This window comes from Homo sapiens, chromosome 16 (assembly GCF_000001405.40).
Source record: "Homo sapiens chromosome 16, GRCh38.p14 Primary Assembly".
Classification (NCBI taxonomy): domain Eukaryota; kingdom Metazoa; phylum Chordata; class Mammalia; order Primates; family Hominidae; genus Homo; species Homo sapiens.
The window spans coordinates 3,283,491-3,303,219 of record NC_000016.10 but is presented as its reverse complement, the minus strand read 5'-3'; the positions used below and the strand labels follow the sequence as shown (position 1 = coordinate 3,303,219).

Below are 19,729 nucleotides of genomic sequence, written 5' to 3'. Positions count from 1 at the left end.
TGAAGCCCACAAACATTCCTTGAGCCTTTCCTTTTGGTTTCACCTCCCCTTGCTTGGGCACTGTTTTAGAAATGATGACTGTGGCTGGGCGCAGTGGCTTACACCTGTAATCCCAGCACTTTGGGAGGCCTAGGTGGGTGGATCACTTGAGGTCAGGAGTTCGAGACCAGCCTGGCCAACATGGCAAAACCTTGTCTGTACTAAAAATATAAAAATTAGCGGGGCATGGTGGTGCGTGCCTGTAATCCCAGCTACTTAGGAGGCTGAGGCACGAGAATGGCCTGAACCCTGGAGGCAGAGGTTGCAGTGAGCCGAGATTGTGTCACTGCACTCCAGCCTGGGCGACAGAACCAGACCCCATCTCAAAAAAAAAAAAAAAAAAAAAAGACGACGGCACAGCTGAGAAGCATTGAAAGCAAATACATTAATTCTGAGACACCTACACAACTGTCATAGTGGCCTGAATATTTTTGCTAGGTGACTAGCTTGAGTTAATGGTGCTGCTATTGGCTAGCAAATACTTTTTTATTTTTCTATTTATAAGTGAAAGAGATAAACCAAGATTTATGTCTGAGTTATCACTTACTAACTGCCTTAATTATAGTTGCCTCATTTAGAAAGTTGCTTGATCGTAGCCTGCCATTGGCTCCACCCCCTAATTACTACCATATTCTCTTGTAATCTTCTCCATGCTCTATAACTCATAGTTGGCATTTCTTGCAATGAATGTTACAGGAAAACCAGTGGTCTGACTCTTCTGGGTTTTTAGATGAGAGACCTAAGAGAATTCTATGGGCCAGGTGTGGTGGCTCACGCCTGTAATCCCAGCACTTTGGGAGGCTGAGGCGGGCGGATCATGAGTTCAGAAGTTCGAGACCAGCCTGGCCAACATAGTGAAATCCTCTTTACCAAAAAAATACAAAAATTAGCCGGGTGTGGTGGCACACACCTGTAGTCCCAGCTACTCAGGAAGCTGAGGCAGGAGAATTGCTTGAACCCGGGAGGCAGAGGTTGTAGTGAGCCGAGATGGCGGCATCGCACTCCAGCCTGGGTGACAGAGCAAGACTCTGTCTCAAAAAAAAAAAGAGAGAGAATTCTATGTAGTTGAGGAATGAATGGGCCAGTCAGATTCTGCCCTAAAGAAGAGGAAGAATAACTGAGATACCAGCCATTTCCCTTATTTCTCTGACATACTTTTCTTTCTTCGTAGCACCTGGAATGGATAAAAGTGGCAGTTTTTGTTTCTTCCCATGAGGTTGTGTATCTGGACTGAGAACCAGGAAATTAATCTAGACTAAGACATTTCTAAGGACCTGGAATGGCTTTGGGGAGCACCAGGAGGACCCGAAAAGAGTATTTGAGGGCCTAGAGGGACAGAAGAGTTTGCCAGTAGGATTTATGAGAAACAATTGATCAGAAACAGCAGCAGAGAAACCTTTTAGATTTCTTCTGTGGAAAAGTTGAGTCTTGGTTCAAATTAAGTAAAATAAACACTGAAGAGAAATCAAAATCTCAAATATAAAAAGTATGTTACTTATAGTGTAAATTTAGGAAAACAAATGAAAGGACAGATCTTTAAAAATTTTTAACTATGGTGAAATATTTGTAAAACTTTTGGGCTCATCTCTGAGAATTGCTGTGATTCTGAAACTTGATAATATCTCAAATAGAGAACAGTTTCAGTGAAAAATAGCACTTGAGAATAAATCAGATGTTCCCAAGAAAGAAGATCTGAGAATGGTAAAGTGCCACTGACAAATAAATTATTTACATACTTACATATTACCTTGGCAAACACAAGAGACATTCAAGTTAAAGCACGGTGCTTGACAATACTATATTGAATGCAATAAAAGTTGGATTTCATTCATATGTACAACAAACTACTTTCTTCTTCACTTCAAGATTCGGTACAACTGTTCCTGAATTCCAACTCTCCATACATCCCAATGTCAGGGTCCCTGTAGCTCGGAGCCCTTATCCAGGTAGATGAACTGCTGCCCAGTGAACACTATGTACAAAGCAATTTGAGCACCATTCTCTTTTCTGGCAGTGAGGTAAAATCAGGTCTTTTTGGAAGGGGAGAAGCCACATTGCATCTCTGCTACACACAAGATTACTCTGTCATTGCCTTTGAGTCTTTCACGCTCCCTTCTTCTGAAGCATCAGTTTTTATGGAAACTTATCACACCTGTCTTGTGGGCACATCTTGCTCCATCCCTCCTCTCTTCATATTGTCCGTTTTCCGGTATTGAGTTAGGGAAAGTATGCAGGTATTCCTGTCATTCCTGACTGAGGCTGTTGTATCTGTCAAAAGAGAGGAGAGGTAGGGGGCATTCTGAAAAATGATCACTCATGGCTTGCAGGAGCAAGAGCCAGACAGGACTTTGCAACTGGCAGCTTTCTGAGTGCATAAGACCTCCACCTCTAGACTAGCTCTTCAGTCATGGTTAGCCCCTTCAGTCCATTATCCTCCAATACAATGCCCATGCCTTCTGGGGCTTTCAGCTAAGTTTTGTTTAAAAAATGTGGGTTTTTTTTTTGCCAATTCATTAAGGCTTTTCCCTTTGTTTTCTCCTGTTGGTGGTTCAGAGTTAAATTCAGTATGAATAAGAGAGGGAAATATACAACACTGAATTTGGAGGAGAAAATGAAGGTTCTAAGTAGAATTGAAGCTGGACGATCACTTAAAAGTGTAATGGATGAATTTGGAATCAGTAAGTCAACATTTTATGACATTAAAAAAAATAAGAAGTTAATTCTGGACTTTGTACTGAAGCAGGACATGCCATTAGTAGGGGCTGAGAAGAGAAAGAGGACAACGGGAGCCAAATATGGTGATGTAGATGATGCGGTCTACATGTGGTACCAACAGAAACGCTCAGCCGGTGTTCCGGTAAGAGGCGTGGAGCTTCAGGCTGCTGCAGAGAGATTTGCACGGTGTTTTGGGCGAACAGATTTCAAAGCTAGCACTGGTTGGCTTTTTAGATTTCGAAATCGGCATGCAATTGGGAACCGAAAAGGATGTGGGGAACAAGTCCTAAGTTCAGTTTCTGAAAATGTTGAGCCATTTCGACAAAAACTGTCCATGATAATCAAAGAGGAGAAACTGTGTCTAGCTCAGCTATACAGTGGGGATGAAACAGACCTCTTTTGGAAGTCAATGCCAGAAAATTCTCAGGCAAGTAGGAAAGATATCTGCCTACCAGGGAAGAAAATAAACAAAGAAAGGTTGTCTGCCTTTTTATGTGCAAATGCAGACGGAACTCATAAATTAAAGTCAATCATTATTGGAAAATCAAAACTGCCCAAAAGTGTGAAAGAGGACACAAGTACATTGCCTGTGATATATAAACCCAGTAAAGATGTTTGGTTCACCAGAGAATTGTTTTCAGAATGGTTTTTTCAAAACTTTGTTCCTGAGGTCCGACATTTTCAACTTAATGTTCTAAGATTTCATGACGAGGACGTCAGGGCATTGTTACTTCTGGACAGTTGCCCGGCTCATCCTTCCTCTGAATCCCTAACCAGTGAGGATGGTCGAATAAAATGTATGTTCTTCCCCCATAACACTTCAACCTTGATTCAACCAATGAATCAAGGTGTGATCTTGAGCTGCAAACGGCTGTATAGATGGAAGCAACTTGAAGAGAGTCTTGTAATATTTGAAGAAAGTGATGATGAGCAAGAGAAAGGAGATAAAGGAGTTTCCAAAATTAAAATCTACAATATAAAAAGTGCAATTTTTAACTGGGCAAAAAGTTGGGAAGAAGTAAAACAAATAACCATAGCAAATGCATGGGAAAATCTTCTTTACAAAAAGGAACCTGAATATGATTTTCAAGGCTTAGAACATGGGGATTATAGAGAAATTCTTGAAAAATGTGGGGAGTTGGAAACTAAGTTGGATGATGATAGGGTGTGGTTAAATGGAGATGAAGAAAAGGGTTGTCTCCTAAAAACCAAAGGTGGAATAACAAAGGAAGTTGTTCAAAAAGGAGGAGAAGCTGAGAAGCAGACTGCTGAATTTAAATTATCTGCTGTAAGAGAGAGTTTGGACTACCTTCTTGACTTTGTTGATGCCACACCTGAGTTTCAGAGATTCCACTTCACACTGAAAGAGATGCAACAAGAAATAGTCAAGAAACAGTTCCAGAGTAAAATCCATTCTAGAATTGGTAGCTTTTTGAAACCTAGGCCTCATAATATTAAGGACTCCTTCAGTGGGCCTTCAACTTCTGGTTCTAATCATTAGATTTTGTGTTTAAAGATTTCTGCCATTATATGATGTAGGCCAGCTGTGAATTGTCTTGTTTTAGCAACTGACATTATTTTGTATATCAGTGCCCATTTATATAATGGTTATAAAATTTACAGTTTGAAAATAATACATTTGTGTTTCTTTAAATTTATTTAAATTTGTGTTTCATAAATTCATTTTTTTAAATTTTACACAAGGATCTGAATAATGAAGTATTGTCCCAGATTATCTAAGGTGGAATGCCTTTGCGAAAAGCATTAGTTTGTAATCATATCGTATAACAAAGAAACTGTGCTGACTAGTTCTAGTTAGCTTTAAGATAAGGATAAATTAGGTTTTCAATTTAATGGTAAAACACACTCTGCTTTCTTAACTCTGTTACTACCTATTTAGTGTTTGTTTTCCTCTTACTGTGAAAGTAACATGCTGATTATAGGGAATATATAAAAAAAGATAAAAAGCACTCAATTCTATTGACTAATGATAACCTCAACACTTCGGTGTATACCATATATTTTTTAAATAGGCAGATTACATTGTAAATAAAACCTTATCTCTTACTGTCTTAACATATTTTATGGTTTGTTACTAATACGTTAGCATTTATTGAGTATATAGGATCGTATATATATGTTAGTCTTCATAATAATGACTTCCCTTTTCAAATACATAAGGAAACAGATTTAGAGAGATTAAGTAACTCGACAAAGGTCACATAAACTGGTAAACAGCAGAGGTGAGACTTAAATTCTGTTTAATGCCAAAGCTCAGGCTTTTAACCATCATACGGCACTATTTCTGAGAGTTTCCCTTAGGTCATTAAAATCTCTTAACCTCACATTTGATGGTTTTTTAATACTCCACCAGGGGATGTAACGTATCAGTTGAACTACCAGGTCAAATAGAATGAACTTTTGAAAAAGCTGCGATACACGCTGTTAAATTGCTTTCACATTCCCACCATTATTTTGAAAGTACTTCTCCCAATGCACCAATCCCAACATTGAATATTGTTAAGCTCTTAGTTTTTGCTAATTTTGTAACCAAAAGAATGGTATCTTTATGGTTGTTCCCTATTTAATATAAGGTGTCAGGTGAGTTGATATTTGCAAATAACAAGCTTTGTTTGGATAATTAGCTCTTATTGGCTTTCAGTGTTTCCTTTCTCATATATTATCTTCAAGAATCTGTTTCTGGCCGGGCGCGGTGGCTCACGGCTGTAATCCCAGCACTTTGGGAGGCCGAGGAGGGCAGATCACGAGGTCAGGAGATCGAGACCATCTTGGCTAACATGGTGAAACCCCGTTTCTACTAAAAATACAAAAAATTAGCCGGGCGCAGTGGCAGGCGCCTGTAGTCCCAGCTACTCGGGAGGCTGAGACAGGAAAATGGCGTGAACCTGGGAGGCGGAGCTTGCAGTGAGCCGAGATCGCGCCACTGCACTCCAGCCTGGGCGACAGAGCGAGACTCCGTCTCAAAAAAAAAAAAAAAAAAAAAAAAAAGAATCTGTTTCTGAGATGGGTATTCTGTTACACTGGTGAATACTAGGCAATTATAGTATAAAATTAGTGACTAAATACAGAACTACTGGGGTCCACTCTTGCTCTAGTACCTTGCCATTTTCATTACTGGCTAATATGAATTTCTCTTTTTTTTTTTTTTTTTGAGATGGAGTCTCGCTGTATCACCCAAGCTGGAGTGCAGTGGCACGATCTTGGCTCGCTGCAACCTCCACCTCCCAGGTTCAAGCAATTCTGCCTCAGCCTCCTGAGTAGCTGGGATTACAGGCGCGTGCCACCACACCTGACTTGTATTTTTAGTAGAGACGAGGTTTCACCATGTTTCTCAGGTTGGTCTTGAACTCCTGACCTCGTGATCCGCCTGCCTCAGCCTCCCAAAGTGCTGCGATTACGGGTGTGAGCCACTGCGCCCGGCCTGTGAATTTTAATGAAAAGCAAATGCCCACTTTCCATGTTTGAAAATATACAAGCTATTCTTACTATCTTAAGTCAACTTCAGCATAAAATTTATTCAAGCCTCCTCCAGACACCAACTCCCTCTGCGAATTTATTCCTAATTTAAGTAAAATTGGAAAGAATTTACATTACTTTTCTCTCCTTTCAAATTGTAAGTGCAGTTTTCATTTAATGGAGTTCTCATTTTTTTTATTGTTCCTAGGTAGGTTTGTTGTTGCTGTAAGTGGGTTCCTTTTTTATTAGTAGTGATTGCTGATATTTTCACCTTGTAAATTCAGTAGTTATCTTTTTTGTGCCTTATTTATTACCCAGAACTTGTAGAAAAAATATATCAACATTGCCACTGGGCATCCTTTTTACATTCAGTTTAGGCTTGATTTGTGCTTTCTTGCCTTATTCAGTCTGCAGCCTGGTGGAAGATGGGAGACCTTTAACATCAAGCAGCTTGACTTTTTCTTTTTTTAAGATTAGTCCATAATGACTGCAAGCTGGGGTTGGGTGAGGGCGAAGGTAGTAATTACTCTTTGCTTGATGTTTTGCCTCTTTTGAAAGACCTTCCAAGCCTGGGACAGGATGGATTGTGGAAGTGGAGGGGGATGGCAGATGAGGACTCTGGGCAGCTCTCTAGTTCCTTTTAGTTTGGGTCTTTGCATCAAACATCATCATTCTTTTTAGTGATAATAAATTCCTAGAGTGACCGAGAGTCACCCCAGTTTTCAAAAGTACTCATTGATTCTGGAAACTTCCTGTTAACTGTTTCATGTACTAGACAATAGCATGTTGTTGGAGATTCAGCTCTGAATAACCAAGAAAATGAATGAGAACAAACCACCATGGGATGTGTAAGGGCCGGAGCCAAAGTGAGCATAGGGAGGGCCTTTGAGACTTGGATAGCAGGGGAGGTGTCTGAGAGGACAGTGCGTGACTTTTGAGCTGGGTTTAAAGTTGTGAAGCAGGGGCTCAGTCTCTGCGGTGGGCACGTGTATCTCCCAGGCAAGCTGCAAGGTCCCTGGACCGTTGCCTTGGGGGCCTCTGGCGGAGAAGAGCAGGAAAGACAGGTCAAGGCTAGTGTCCCTGGGGGACATCCTACGAGATTTTAGACGGGTCTCGGCCCACGTAAGTCTTGACCGCTCCACCTCCTGGATCTCTCCTCTCCACTCTTCGTCCTCACTGCCCTGCCCTGGTCCAGGCTCCCTTCGCCTTCTGCGTTGACTCTGCCTCTTCAGTTGCCCTGCCTTCCTTTTCTGTCCCCTCTCCATTCTTGCCCGACCCTTATTCTCTTACCAGAAGAGAGCGAACTAAAACAAAAAGGGGAGCCTCGGGCTTCAGACACTTCGTGGGCCTCCCACTGTTTAAAGAAAGGCCTAGCCCCTAGGGCGGCCCCGCGCTTTCCTGGCGCCCGCTCGCACGCACCCCAGCTCGGCCCTCCGCGCCTCCCGCTAGACCGCGAGGGCCGACGGGGGAGTTTTAGAGGGTGCAGGTGCGCCACCGCCTCGAGTCTAGGAGAGGAAACCCCTGCGGCTGTGCGTGCGAGAACCACCATACACCGGAGCCACCATACACCGCCCGGGCGGGAACGCTGGAAGGGAGGGGAGGGGCGGTGACTTGGGCGGCTGGGGCGTGATCGTGGCCCCAGGGGTCTGGGCACAGGTCCCGGGACGGCCGCGGGAGGAGGACCGGCCAGAGGGCAGGGAAAGGCCGGGACCGGGCGCAGGGCGGCCTTCGCTTCTGGGGGCAGAGCCGACGCTGAGGGGAGCGGCAGCCCCGAGGCCCGGGGCGGCGGTTGGAGGAGGCTCGTGGGCCCGGCCGCGTGTGAGCCGATGCGGAGCAGGAGGCGTCTGCTTTGCCCAAGCCTGAAAAGGGAGTCTCTGGTTCTGCAAATCACTCCTGGGGATAGGAACTTCTCCGAGAAGTCCAGGCACTCACACTTGCGCCGGGTGCTGGGGCTGGACTCCTGCCGGGAGGCCCAGGAGAGCCGAGAACTCCCTCAAGGGCAGCAGCACCTCGGGAGTGGGGAACTGGCCTCCCTGAACGGAATGGAGGGCAAGCAATTCCTCATGATGTCCAAAAACATACGCTGGACTTCAGAACGATACTCCTTAATGTTTTTCTTTCCCGTTCTCGCTGCCTGGAGAAATACTACTCTCCTTGGAGCACGTTGGGGATGCTTGAGAGCCACCGGATTTCTGACAGAATCTTTTGAGACATTTAAGGTGTCTCTGTAAGCTAATTGAGAGCAATAACATTAACTGGGAGATCAGAATTTTTTTGTGATCTGAGTCATTTTTCCTCAACCATTTTGTCGTTGTTGAACTTAACCTAGATCATTCCCAGTGCCTCTTCACTGTACCACTCAGGCAAGGTCTAGCTGGTCTTATTAAAAAGTATATGATGGGAAGGAAATATTAACCGCCCTTTCAAGAACAGAAGTCAATAATTGGGAGTGCTTGCAAGCTAGACTGAAGAGTAAAAGAAAATATTTCAAATAAATAAATAAATAAATAAATGCATTTTGCTTGAATTCATCTAGCTATTCCTGAGTTCCTGACCTCCAAAATTAAGTCTCCTAGTGCTAAGAAATTTGCTAGTTGGTTTTCCTGTAACACACATTAAGACACTTTACGTGACTTAGTTGTTTCAAATGCTTGTGAAACACTTAGAAAAAATTACAAGTTTTAAAGCAGTGGTGATTTTGCACATTCCAAAGTAGTATCAGTTAATGTAATGAATCACTCTTCTTTAAAAAGTGCTGAGTCTAGGCGGGGCGCGGTGGCTCACGCCTGTAATCCCAGCACTTTGGGAGGCCGAGGCGGGCAGATCACGAGGTCAGGAGATCGAGACCATCCTGGCTAACATGGTGAAACCCGGTCTCTACTAAAAATAGAAAAAATTAGCCAGGCGTGGTGGCGGGCGCCTGTAGTCCCAGCTACTCGGGAGGCAGAGGCAGGAGAATGGCGTGAACCCGGGAGGCGAAGCTTGCAGTGAGCCGAGATCGTGCCACTGCACTCCAGCCTGGGTGACAGAGCGAGACTCCGTCTCAAACAAAACAAAACAAAAAAGTGCTGAGCCTAAAACCTGAAATTTCAGATTATGGTGCTGAGACCCAAAAGTTCTTTCATTACAGCCATCAAAACTTTTAAAGTGACTTCTGATGGATTTTTCTGAAAAATTCAGTGCTTTTAAAACATTCTTCCAGTCTGTGTCCCACCTCTGGCTTTGTTGTCATTGCTCCCCAGCCTGACGCTGCCAGGCCTTTTCACAGGGCTTAGATGTGGCACTGGTTCTCACCCACCAGCCTCCCTGCTGGTTTCATGTGCTACCTTTGCTAAGGATGTGTGGCTGCTGCTCAGGGTCACTCCACATCTCCCAAGACCTCTTTGCACCCATTTGGACTTAGAGGCTAGAGGTCCTTATTGTCCCAGGGTTAGTCTCCCTGTGACATAAAAGCCACTCAAACTGTTTTGGCTTCTTTTACAAGAGCCCTAGTGGGCAAAGTATTAATGTGAAAAAGCACTAACTTGGACATCTCTTGCAGTGACCTAGTTCTCACACTGCTATAAAGATACAGAGACTGCGTAATTTACAAACAAAAGAGGTTTAATTGACTCAGTTCTGTGTGGCTGGGGAGGCCTCAAGAAACTTACAATTATGGCGGAAGGCAAAGGGGAAGTAGGTACCTTCTTCACAAGGTGGCAAGAGAGAACAAGCAAGCACGCAAGTGAAGGGGGAACTGTTACACTTTTAAAACCATCAGCTCTCGGGAGAATTCAGTATCAGGAGAACAGCATAGGGGAAAACCGTCCCCATGATGCAAGCACTTCCCACCAGGTCCCTCCCTTGACACATGGGGATAACAATTAGAGATGAGATTTGCGTGGGGACACAGAGCCGAACCGTATCAGACCTCATGGGGGCCTGCAGTAAGGGAATCAGACCTACTCTCTCAAACATGAGTACAAGGGAAGGAGATGTCATCAGTCCCTGAAATTCCTGCCAGTGTGGTCTTCAGTGACCTCAGTCAGTGTTAGATGCTTAGAAGGAAATCTTTTGGATCATCTGTCGACAGTTGGCACTTTCTTACATGCCAGGCATAGTGCTGCTTTATGTAGTTATTTTCTGTGATGTCATCTCATTAAAACAGGCCAAGAACAGCTAAGCATGTGAAGTTTACTAGAAGGGGAACTAGACTGAAGATTTGAGTGAAGCGTTCCAATGGAATGCCTTTTTATGGCAAATACCTGAGAGTCATTTCCCAGCTTCAAGCTGCAGTGTTCCAAGTATGAGCAGCACCAGTTGGACCACATCATAAGATCTGTGTGGGTGATGTTACCAAGGGAGGGAGAGTAGATGGAAGGGGCGCTTTCCAGTCTCTGTCCACATAAACTGCCATCTTAACCAGAGTGCTTTGTAGGAACACCAGCTTTACATTCCATCCAATTCATGACATCAGCAGCCTGGCTGGCCCTGCACTGCTCCACTGGAGTGTGGTCCTGCTCCTACCACTGTTGATCCTACTCTGATCTCTCTAATCCTAACCCTCCACTTCCCTGCCCTCAACCCCCACACCACCACTGCCCTCCTCCTGTGAACAAGCTGATTAAGAGGAAGTTACAGAAATGAGAAATAGTGAGATATTAAAAAACTGGCTCAGACAACCAAAGAAAAACACATACTAAACTGAGGCAGGGCTGAGAGAAGGATCAATGGAGCGCTGTTTCCATGACTTCAAGTTGCTATATCCATCAGCCTGTTCCCAAAGGACTGTTTCTTCATCTTTTTCACCCGAAGAACAGCTGGATACCTTCCTCCGGGGCTGTATCCTGAGGTGTTTTCCTGGCATCCGATTTCCTACTCTTAGAATACTCCCCCGTTTCCCACAGATACACACTACTAGAATTCCTATTTCTGATATGCCATTCTAAAATGCAATGCTAGTAATCCCAGCACTTTGAGAGGCCAAGATGGGAAGAAGGCTTGAGCTCGGGAACTCAAGACCAGCCTGGGCAAATAGTGAGACCCCACCTCTACCAAAAAATAAATATAATGCTTTCCCTTAATAATTGCGCCATCTCCTATATCTTCCTACCATTAATAATCAATAACTCAGTTATACTGGGACCATCTTAACTTCCACCCTGGAAATCAGTTGCAAGACCAAAATATCCTGTTCTCTAAGAGTCAGATCTTCCTCAGCTACTGAGTAAGAATGTAAACATTCTAAACAAAGAATTGAAAACATTTTTACTGCTATAGACCACAGAAGGAAAGAATACTTTCTAGAGACCCTATGACAGCATCACCCCAGCAGCCATTTGGCTTGACCCTTTGTTACCACATGGCAGTCCCAGCCTGGAGGCTGCCAGGCCCTCACCTGCCTCTGCCTGTCTGCTGCCTCCTTTGTCAGCATCTTCCTGACCAACCCAGTAAGTCTATGAGAAAGCAGGGCCTCTGACCAAGGCAGAGGGGAGACAGATCAACACTCGGGGGTCTAGACAGAGGCTTTCATTGAAGACTCACAGACATTTATGTTTCCTGAAGATATTTATTCCCATCCAAACATTTTCAACAGGGAAAGACACAATCCCCAATTTCCCCCTAGGATTCACATTTTCAATTTTCCAGGGAATCTCTCTTTCCTGGAATGCTCTCGTTCCTCTGGAGTCAGGAACAAGACTCCAGAGCTGTTTATTTTTCTCACACAGGTGGGGGGAATCTCATTCTCCACAAAGGGTTATCAGACACCTACTTCCTCTGCCAATTCCTGGGCTGACCTGCAAATTCCACCTTATTATTGCCCTTGGGCCTCTGGTTCCTTTTTGTCTGAGGTCATATTTACATGTGTAATCTGCCAATGGGCACTCCTGTTAGGCCATCGTAGGGCACGTGGTGGCTTGATCTGGACTGCCCATGGCTTCCCAACTGGGGCCTTCGGGACAGCTGCAACTCACAACCAGTCTTTTGTTGACCTTCAGCTGATTTCCCAGGGTACTTGGCCCCTCTTCTTTGGTCTCAGGGGCCCCGGAAGCCCAAATGCTCCTACTGAATGTCCCAAATGAGGAAGAAGTATCAAAAACATCACATGGATTCCCAAACTTGTTAAGGTAAACTGGACAGTCAGGTGCCCAAATCGCACCTTGGCTTTAAAAAGACCAAGAGGGTAGGAGCACCCTGGGGCAGGGTGGACTTAACAGAGAATTCCACCCTGAGGTCACCTCAGAGACTTGCCATCCTTTCTCATGCAGACAGAACTCCTTTTCAGTTTTATGCCAATCCTCTGCTGCCTCTGCACCTCCCTCACAATGAGCCCCCATTACCTGAAGAATGCAGAGGTCATTTGGTCGGCTGGGCAGGGAATACCAGCTCTTGCCAACAGGCTCCTCTGAATATGCCACCTCACCTGGGGCAAAGAGAAACCCCACTGTTACTAACCTGTGTGAGTTCTCTGATGACTCATAAGACGGGAACTCCGAGAGAAGCTTTCTCCACATTCAGAACATTTATAGGGTCTCTCTCCCGTATGCGTTCTCAGGTGGCGAATCCGATTGGAGCTGTGAGAGAAGCTGTCTCCGCACTCATGACAGGTATAGGGTTTTTCTCCTGTGTGGATTCTCTGGTGCCTGATTAAATTGGATCTATGAGAGAAGTTTTCCCCACAAAGGGTACATTTATACGGTTTCTCTCCTGTGTGTGTTCTCTGATGTCTGGTGAGGTGCATGCCCTGCCGGAAGCTTTTCCCACAAGTCAAACATTCAAAGAGCTTCTTCTCTGCCTTATGGGCTCCATGGTTTGTAAGAAAGGGGGTGCTGTCACTCACAGCTTCCCCACACTCAGAGAAGGGGTAAAGTCTCTCTCTCTCATGAGTTCTTTCGTGAATGACGAGGTGTGAACTCCGAGAGAAACTTTTCCCACACTCGGGACACTTATAAGGTCGCTCTCCAGTGTGAATTCTCTGGTGCCGAAGGAGGTTGGAACTGTGAGCAAAGATCTCCCCACACTCAGGGCACTTGTAGGGCTTCTCCCCAGTGTGCGTTCTCTGGTGCCTGTGGAGGTTGGAGTTGCAGGAGAAACATTTTCCGCAAATGTTGCACTGATAGGGCTTCTCACCCGTGTGGGTGCGTTGGTGGCGAGTCAGATGGGTGTTCTGACTGAAGCATTTCCCACATTCAAGGCACTTGTGGGCCTCCTCTCCCAGGTGTGCTCTGTGTAGTGACAGGAAACGTGGGTTCCCACCAAAGATTTCAGTGCAGTCCACACCCATACACAGTCTTTCAGCTGCATGTATTCTCTGGTGCCTAATTAGGTTTGAGTTGTTAGAGAAATTTTTGCCACACAAGGGACATAAATGGAGTTTCTTTGGCTGCAGTTCCTTCGGTCGCCCCAGTTCTCTGCCACTTGAGGCTCCTGCCAAGGCCTGCTCCATTCCACCCTCTGGGGGAGGCGCCCAATCCCCTTGCGACCGGTCATGAGGTCTTCCCAGCTCAGGACTCCAGGGCACCTCCCCTCGGGCCTGGTCAGGAAGCAGCACCTGAGGGTGGATGTTCTCAGAGCATACAGACGGAACACCTTCCAGGTTCTCAAATTTCTCTTCTCCTGGTAGAGAGAGAGAAACCAAACCCGTACATTATTTCTATGCTGGAGAAAAGAAAATCCCACCTGTCTGCCGCTGCCTGTTAGGTCAGCAGCCCAGAAGGGCTGCTTCTACCTCAGAATCCCATCCTCTCCTAAAGGTAAAGCACTCTGGAGAAGCATCAGGATAAAGGGTCGGGCCACTGGTCAAGGAATCAGAGCCGAGACCAGTCTTAGAATTTTCCTTTCCACCTGAGCCTCTCGATTCTGCCCTTCAGGAATGGGTGGGATGGAGCAGGGCTGAGAGTAGGGTGGGACAAGTAAGCTCAAGAATAAGGGCCTCCTTGAACTCTGCACCCTGGGTTCCTCACTTGCCTCACTGGGATGGAGAATGGCAGGGTCAAAGGACGTAATGTACCTCTCTAGCAGCTGTGCTGGGCCGGCCCTGCACCCAAATCCTCAAATGCCTTACTCTGCTGGGGGCGGTGGCTCACACTTGTAAATCCCAGCACTTTGGGAGGCCGAGGTGGGTGGATCACCTGAGGTCAGGGAGACCAGCCTGACCAATATGGAGAAACCCCGACTCTACTAAAAATACAAAAAATTAGCTGGGCGTGGTGGCGCATGCCTGTAATCCCAGCTACTCGGGAGGCTGAGGCAGGAGAACCGCTTGAACCTGGGAGGCGGAGCTTGCAGTGAGCCGAGATCGCACTGTTGCACTCCAGCCTGGGCAACAAGAGTGCCACTCCATCTCAAAACAAAACAAAACAAAACCAAAAAATGCCTCACTCTTAACTGCAAGAGCCTTGCTGCTTGCTGCGCAGGCCACTTGTCTTCATTCCTTACCTGGAGCTGGGCCTCTGGGGCTCAGGCCCTCCTTGCAGCTCTGGACACTGGGATCCCATAGCTTTCCTCCTTGTCCCACCTGGGTGCCTGGGACCTCCTGACTGGGAATGTGAGACTCTGTTCACAATGAAAGAAACAGATTTCTGTACTGCCACTTTCCTCTACCAGGGTAGGGAAACAGTCTTGTTCCCTGCCCTCAGTGGATAAATACAGAATGCTCCATAAATCTGACAGCAGTTACTTGGAATATACACAAACTGTTCCCAGTGGATACCTCTAGAGAAAGAAATTAGGGGAGGGAGACTTTTTTTTTTTTTTTGAGACAGAGTCTCACTCTGTCGCCCAGGCTGGAGTGCAGTGGCACGATCTCCGCTCACTGCAACCTCTGCCTCCTAGGTTCAAGCGATTCTCCTGCCTCAGCCTCCCAAGTAGCTGGGATTACAGGCGTGCACCACCACACCCGGCTAATTTTTGTATTTTTAGTAGAGATGGAGTTTCACCATGTTGGCCAGGCTGGTCTCGAACTCCTGACTTCAAGTGATCTGCCTGCCTCGGCCTCCCAAAGTGCTGGGATTACAGGTGTGAGCCACTGCGCCCGGCCAATTTTTTTTTTTTTTAAATATTCATGGTACTTGGAATGTTTTTTTTTGCAATGAGAATGTACACTACTGTAATTGAAATAACTATAAAATGAACATGGTCAGTTCCTTGAATAATCCATTTAATATCATAAAAGGGCCTTGTCTCTACATATAAATACAAAATAGAACTAAATTTGACCGGACAACTCCAGGGAAAGAAAATATAACATAATAGACAATCAGAAAAGGACCCAGGGCTCTAAGAGGACCATGAGATTAAAACCCACAAGTGCCATTTCTATGCTGTGCCAAAAAGAAAAACAAAAACCTCCACCTCCAGCAAACATGGACTCCAACAGAAGTTTAATTCCAACAAGCTGTAATCTGATCTTTTCCTATTTAGCATCTCTCACTAAAAGGGCCATGTTCAACTTTGGACATCACAGCAGTGAAAAGTAATATGGAAACTGGTACAGTGGCACACTTCCTGACTAAGGCAGGAAGACTGCTTGAGCCCAGAAGTTCCAGAGCAGCCTGGGCAACAGAGTGAGACTCACTTCAAAAAAAAAAAAAAAAAAAAAAAAGGCCGGGTGTGGTGGCTCACACCTGTAATTCCAGCACTTTGGGAGGCGGGTGGATCACCTGAGGTCGGGAATTCAAGATGAGCCTGACCTACATGGAGAAATCCTGTCTCTACTAAAAATACAAAAAATTAGCCGGGTGTGGTGGCGCATGCCTGTAATCCCAGCTACTCTGGAGGCTGAGGCAGGAGAATCACTTGAACCCGGGAGGCAGAGGTTGCAGTGAGCAAGATTGCGTTTGCAGAATTAGTGTCAACAAATGTACAGTTGTGATACTTTTTAGGCAAACCTGATATATGGAAACAATGTGCGGTGTGTCTTGTTTGTTTTGAAACAGAGTCTCACTCTGTCACCTGGTTGAGGTGCAGTGGCATCATCATAGCTCACTGCAGCCTTGACCTACTGGGCTCAGGTGATTCTCCCCTCAGCCTCCTGAGTAACTGGGACTACCACCACCACACCAGTGAGTCTTTCTACTGGTGTGTTTCAACATAGGTATAATCATAATGTACACACAGTCTTGTTTTATGTTAAGACTTCCCCAACTTTTTATTAAAAGAATTCTCATACATACAGAAAAGTTGAGGGAATTGTACAATAAATACAAGCATATCCTCCACCTAAATCCAACTATATGTCAGTCTGTCATATTCCGTAGGCATAATTTTAAAACTCTGAGTACAGTACAAGACATAGGTAAATCTTAATTTATGATATGGCCTACTTTGGAGCTATACATTGTTTCCAAATTTCCACAAGACCCTCCCCACTTTCTGAATTTTTATGGGCTGTGAGAGATGATAGGCTGGAATGTTGATCCTACTACCCCTGAAATTTTTGTCTTTGGGGACGAGCCTAGAAACACTAACGGAACACAGGAAACACTGGCGAGCTCATAAGAATAAGCATCTGAAAATTGCAAGGAATCAACCATTTAGAGCCCCCCAGCATCCTGGAATACTGCATGTGTGTGATGCTGGCAGGTTGTCACCGCATTGGGTTTGCTCTGCCCTAGGAAGTGCACATGGCTCAGACTCGCCTTAGGCTCTGGCAGCTGGGACTCCAGTCCCGGGCTGCCTGTGCCAACTGTACCACTTGGCAGATACATGACTCTCGTACAGGGGACTTTAGACAAAGGGAAGTCTCCTGTGGAGGCTTCTTGGCAAAACTCAGAGTCTGTGTCCAGGAGGTGAATGAATAACGGGCAGGACCCTGGTCAGAAATGGCGCAGTCATCATCCCTGGAAAAGAAGTCCTTACCCAGTGAGTCCACATTCTCATAACTCTCCTGCACCGTGTCCCTGGAGAGGGCCCTCTTACTAGGATCCTGATGCCCCCACTCCTCCTGGGAGATGTACATTGCCACGTCCTCTAAGCTCTCAGGCAACTGAAACAGCACAAGATCTCCTTTAGCCCCTGATGCACCAAGAACAATTCAAGCAGAGTCATGGGTTAAAGGGGCAAAATCCAGGGATGCCAAGCACATGTCAGGGGGGAAGAAGGGTATCAGGCCTCCAAGTGAGGTGTGAAATAGACAAAGCAGTGGGGGAGACGCTGTGGTAAGGGACAAAGGACCTTCCACATGGAGAACCCCCACCCCCAACACTCAGGGGAGGAAGGGTGCTGGGGGGAGACAATGGAAACTTCCACATCACCTGGGGCCCAGTCATCTCCTTGTCTTCCATGTTCCCTTCAGGAGGAAAAAGAGAAAGCCAGGGAGCAGATAATGCTGAAGGTGACAGAAATTATAATGAGAATGGCATTCCTAACTCTTGGCAACCCAAGGATTATTAAAACACAGTATCCATTCCCCAACACCCAGCCTCTGCTTTTGGGAATGACGCTAAACTGCACAGAGGCCTAATCAGCTGATATCCAAAATGACAGGGTGAGAGGGAAGGAGTACCAAGAGTAGCACTCCAAACCCTGCGTCATTCAAGTGGTTCTAAATCGCCTCTGTTCTGCATAAAAAAGGGCTCTACTGAGACTCCCTTCCCTTCCCCCAGCCCCAGGAGAACCCACACCACCAACTGCAGGTCTTTCATTCCACAGGTGAGAACCTGATCTTCAGAAATTCCTTCTCCTTCGCATCATTGCTACATCCAGCTAGTGTCGGGGGCAACCCCCAAGCCCCTCCTCCCTCCCACCTGCCCAGATAACTGTGCCTCACCCCTCTCCTTTACAGCCTGGGGGTCCCTTTGGGGGCTGGGGCCTAGCAGCTCCTGCAGCCTGGGGCCAGGGCTTCGCTCAGTCTCCATTGGCTCCAGCTTGAAGCTCGGTGACTCTCGTGCTGTTTCCAGAGGCAAAGGCTCCTCCAAAAGCACTTCTGTTCCCCGCCCATGGTTTGTGACCTGGGAACCAACCCACATCACTCATCATCACAACAGGGCCCAAGAGGAAGGGAAATTAGTATAGGATACTGAGAGCAAACCTTCAACAGAGAACCTCAGGCGATCCCTTTGGGCCCAGGTAACAGAAAAATGGTTTACACTAAAGGCTTTTTTGATCCCATGTGCAGGGGGAGGGGTTAGGGAAAGGGCCCACTCCCAGAGCACACCTTCCCCACACAGCTCTTAAGATACACCTCACTCCCTTTTGCTCTCCCCACCTTTTCTAGGTGCTTCTATTCCTCACTATAGGATAGGCTAAATTGGGGTAGCCCTGGGGACCAATGACCTCAGGGCCTCGGTGCCAAATTATCTTTCAAAGTTCACAATTAACGGAGGCCCAGCTTTGCAGAGAAGACCAGACCGTGGACCCTAACATAACAACAGGTAACAAGTACTAAGCACTCATAAGCTAGTAGTGTTCACAACTTTACATGCTGCTCTCCCTCTAAGCCCTAGAAAGTATGTTAATATCCTCATTTTACGAATAGGAAAACAGGCCGAAAGAGATCAAGTAACTTGCCAAAGTAACAAAGCTAGTACTAGCAGATTGAGGATTTGAACGCTGGCGATCTAACTCCATGGCTAACACTAACTGTTGCAGGGACACCGCCTCCGCGTGGAAACAGGGCACTCTTCACTGCTTTCGTTCATTTGGGGGAAAATCTGGAGGATGAGTGTTCCAGGTTAAATCACAAGTCCTCTTCCCCACGTAAGGTCTACTCAGGGCAATTTACTTGAATTCGACCGGGGGCGCAATGTCCCAGTGCTCAGGGCTAAACAAACCACAGATAAAACAGCTCTCTCTCTCTCTCACCTGTTGTCTCAGTCTCCCAAGCTCTCTCTGCATATCCTCCACAAGGGTCACCGCTTCTTCGCCGCTCTCCGGATGCAGCTCCTGCACCCTGCTCTGGATCTCCTGGGGCAGGATGGTCAGGAACTGCTCTAACACCAGCAGCTCCAAGATCTGCTCCTTCGTGCGCATCTCAGGCCGAAGCCACCCATGGCAAAGCTCTTGGAGCCGGCTGAGGGCTTCCCGGGGACCAGCTGCCTCTTGGAAGCGGAACCGTCTGAAGCGCAAGTGGGAGGCCTCGGGGCTCGGTCCTGGGTCAGGTGGGGGCAGCTCCTGGCTCCAGGCGCAGTCCTCCTCCAGCTTCACTATCAGGAGCCCTTCCCGTTCCTGGGAGCCCGGGCCCGACGCCATCGTCAGGTCTCCAGAGCGCCTTAGCCCGAAACCAGCCGTGCCCGCCTACGAAGGCGCCCTGAACCCATGTAAGGTTGGACGGCGCCAGCAGGAGCCCGGGGCCGGGGGCTCCCAGTCCAGGCCGAGGAGCCCCGCTCCAGCCCAGGCGCGGCCGGCTCCGGCGCCTAGGCCTCAGTCGGTCCCAGGCGCCGCCACGCCGGCCCCGTGGCCCATCTGCGCCAGGACTTCCCCGAGGCAGGAACCGAGCGCCACGCTTCTCACCCTATATAGAGGACCCACGCAAGACTCAGACCTCTGCTCCCACGCCGGAAATCTCAGCGCGCAAGTT

General features: G+C 46.7%; 2 protein-coding genes across 3 annotated transcripts in view, besides 2 other annotated features; one reads left to right on the top strand and one right to left on the bottom strand.

Annotated features, from left to right (window-relative positions):
- TIGD7 (tigger transposable element derived 7) overlaps nucleotides 1–4,412 on the top strand; it is a 6,623-nt gene extending 2,211 nt beyond the window's left edge. Inside the window, exon 2 of the mRNA NM_033208.4 lies at nucleotides 1,211–4,412. Coding sequence (NP_149985.2) covers nucleotides 2,606–4,255 — 1,650 coding nt within the window. The 5' untranslated portion in view covers nucleotides 1,211–2,605 and the 3' untranslated portion in view covers nucleotides 4,256–4,412. The remainder of the gene's footprint in view (nucleotides 1–1,210) is intronic.
- Nucleotides 1,819–19,729, bottom strand: ZNF263 (zinc finger protein 263). 2 transcript variants are annotated; one of them, NM_001411015.1, is made up of 8 exons: nucleotides 19,015–19,729; nucleotides 17,981–18,161; nucleotides 17,466–17,539; nucleotides 17,071–17,197; nucleotides 14,650–14,766; nucleotides 12,667–13,827; nucleotides 4,064–4,114; nucleotides 1,819–2,307 (listed from the first exon to the last, which is right to left on the bottom strand). In NM_001411015.1, exons 1-7 carry the CDS (start codon nucleotides 19,399–19,401, stop codon nucleotides 4,110–4,112), a joined length of 2,052 nt encoding a protein of 683 aa, NP_001397944.1. In that variant the 5' UTR covers nucleotides 19,402–19,729; the 3' UTR covers nucleotides 1,819–2,307; nucleotides 4,064–4,109. The 2 variants fall into 2 exon arrangements, with proteins under 2 accessions (NP_001397944.1, NP_005732.2); NM_005741.5 differs by lacking the exons at nucleotides 1,819–2,307; nucleotides 4,064–4,114 and having other exon boundaries at nucleotides 11,760–13,827.
- Nucleotides 18,737–19,240: an enhancer, noted in NCBI's record as "H3K27ac hESC enhancer chr16:3333980-3334483 (GRCh37/hg19 assembly coordinates)". NCBI's record gives its function as "activates a minimal SCP1, AML or CMV promoter by ChIP-STARR-seq in primed H9 embryonic stem cells {active_cell/tissue: H9 hESC(primed)}" and the evidence as "EXISTENCE:reporter gene assay evidence [ECO:0000049][PMID:30033119]".
- Nucleotides 19,421–19,580: a silencer, noted in NCBI's record as "silent region_7131". NCBI's record gives its function as "represses an Ori minimal core promoter by ATAC-STARR-seq in GM12878 lymphoblastoid cells {active_cell/tissue: GM12878}" and the evidence as "EXISTENCE:reporter gene assay evidence [ECO:0000049][PMID:35858748]".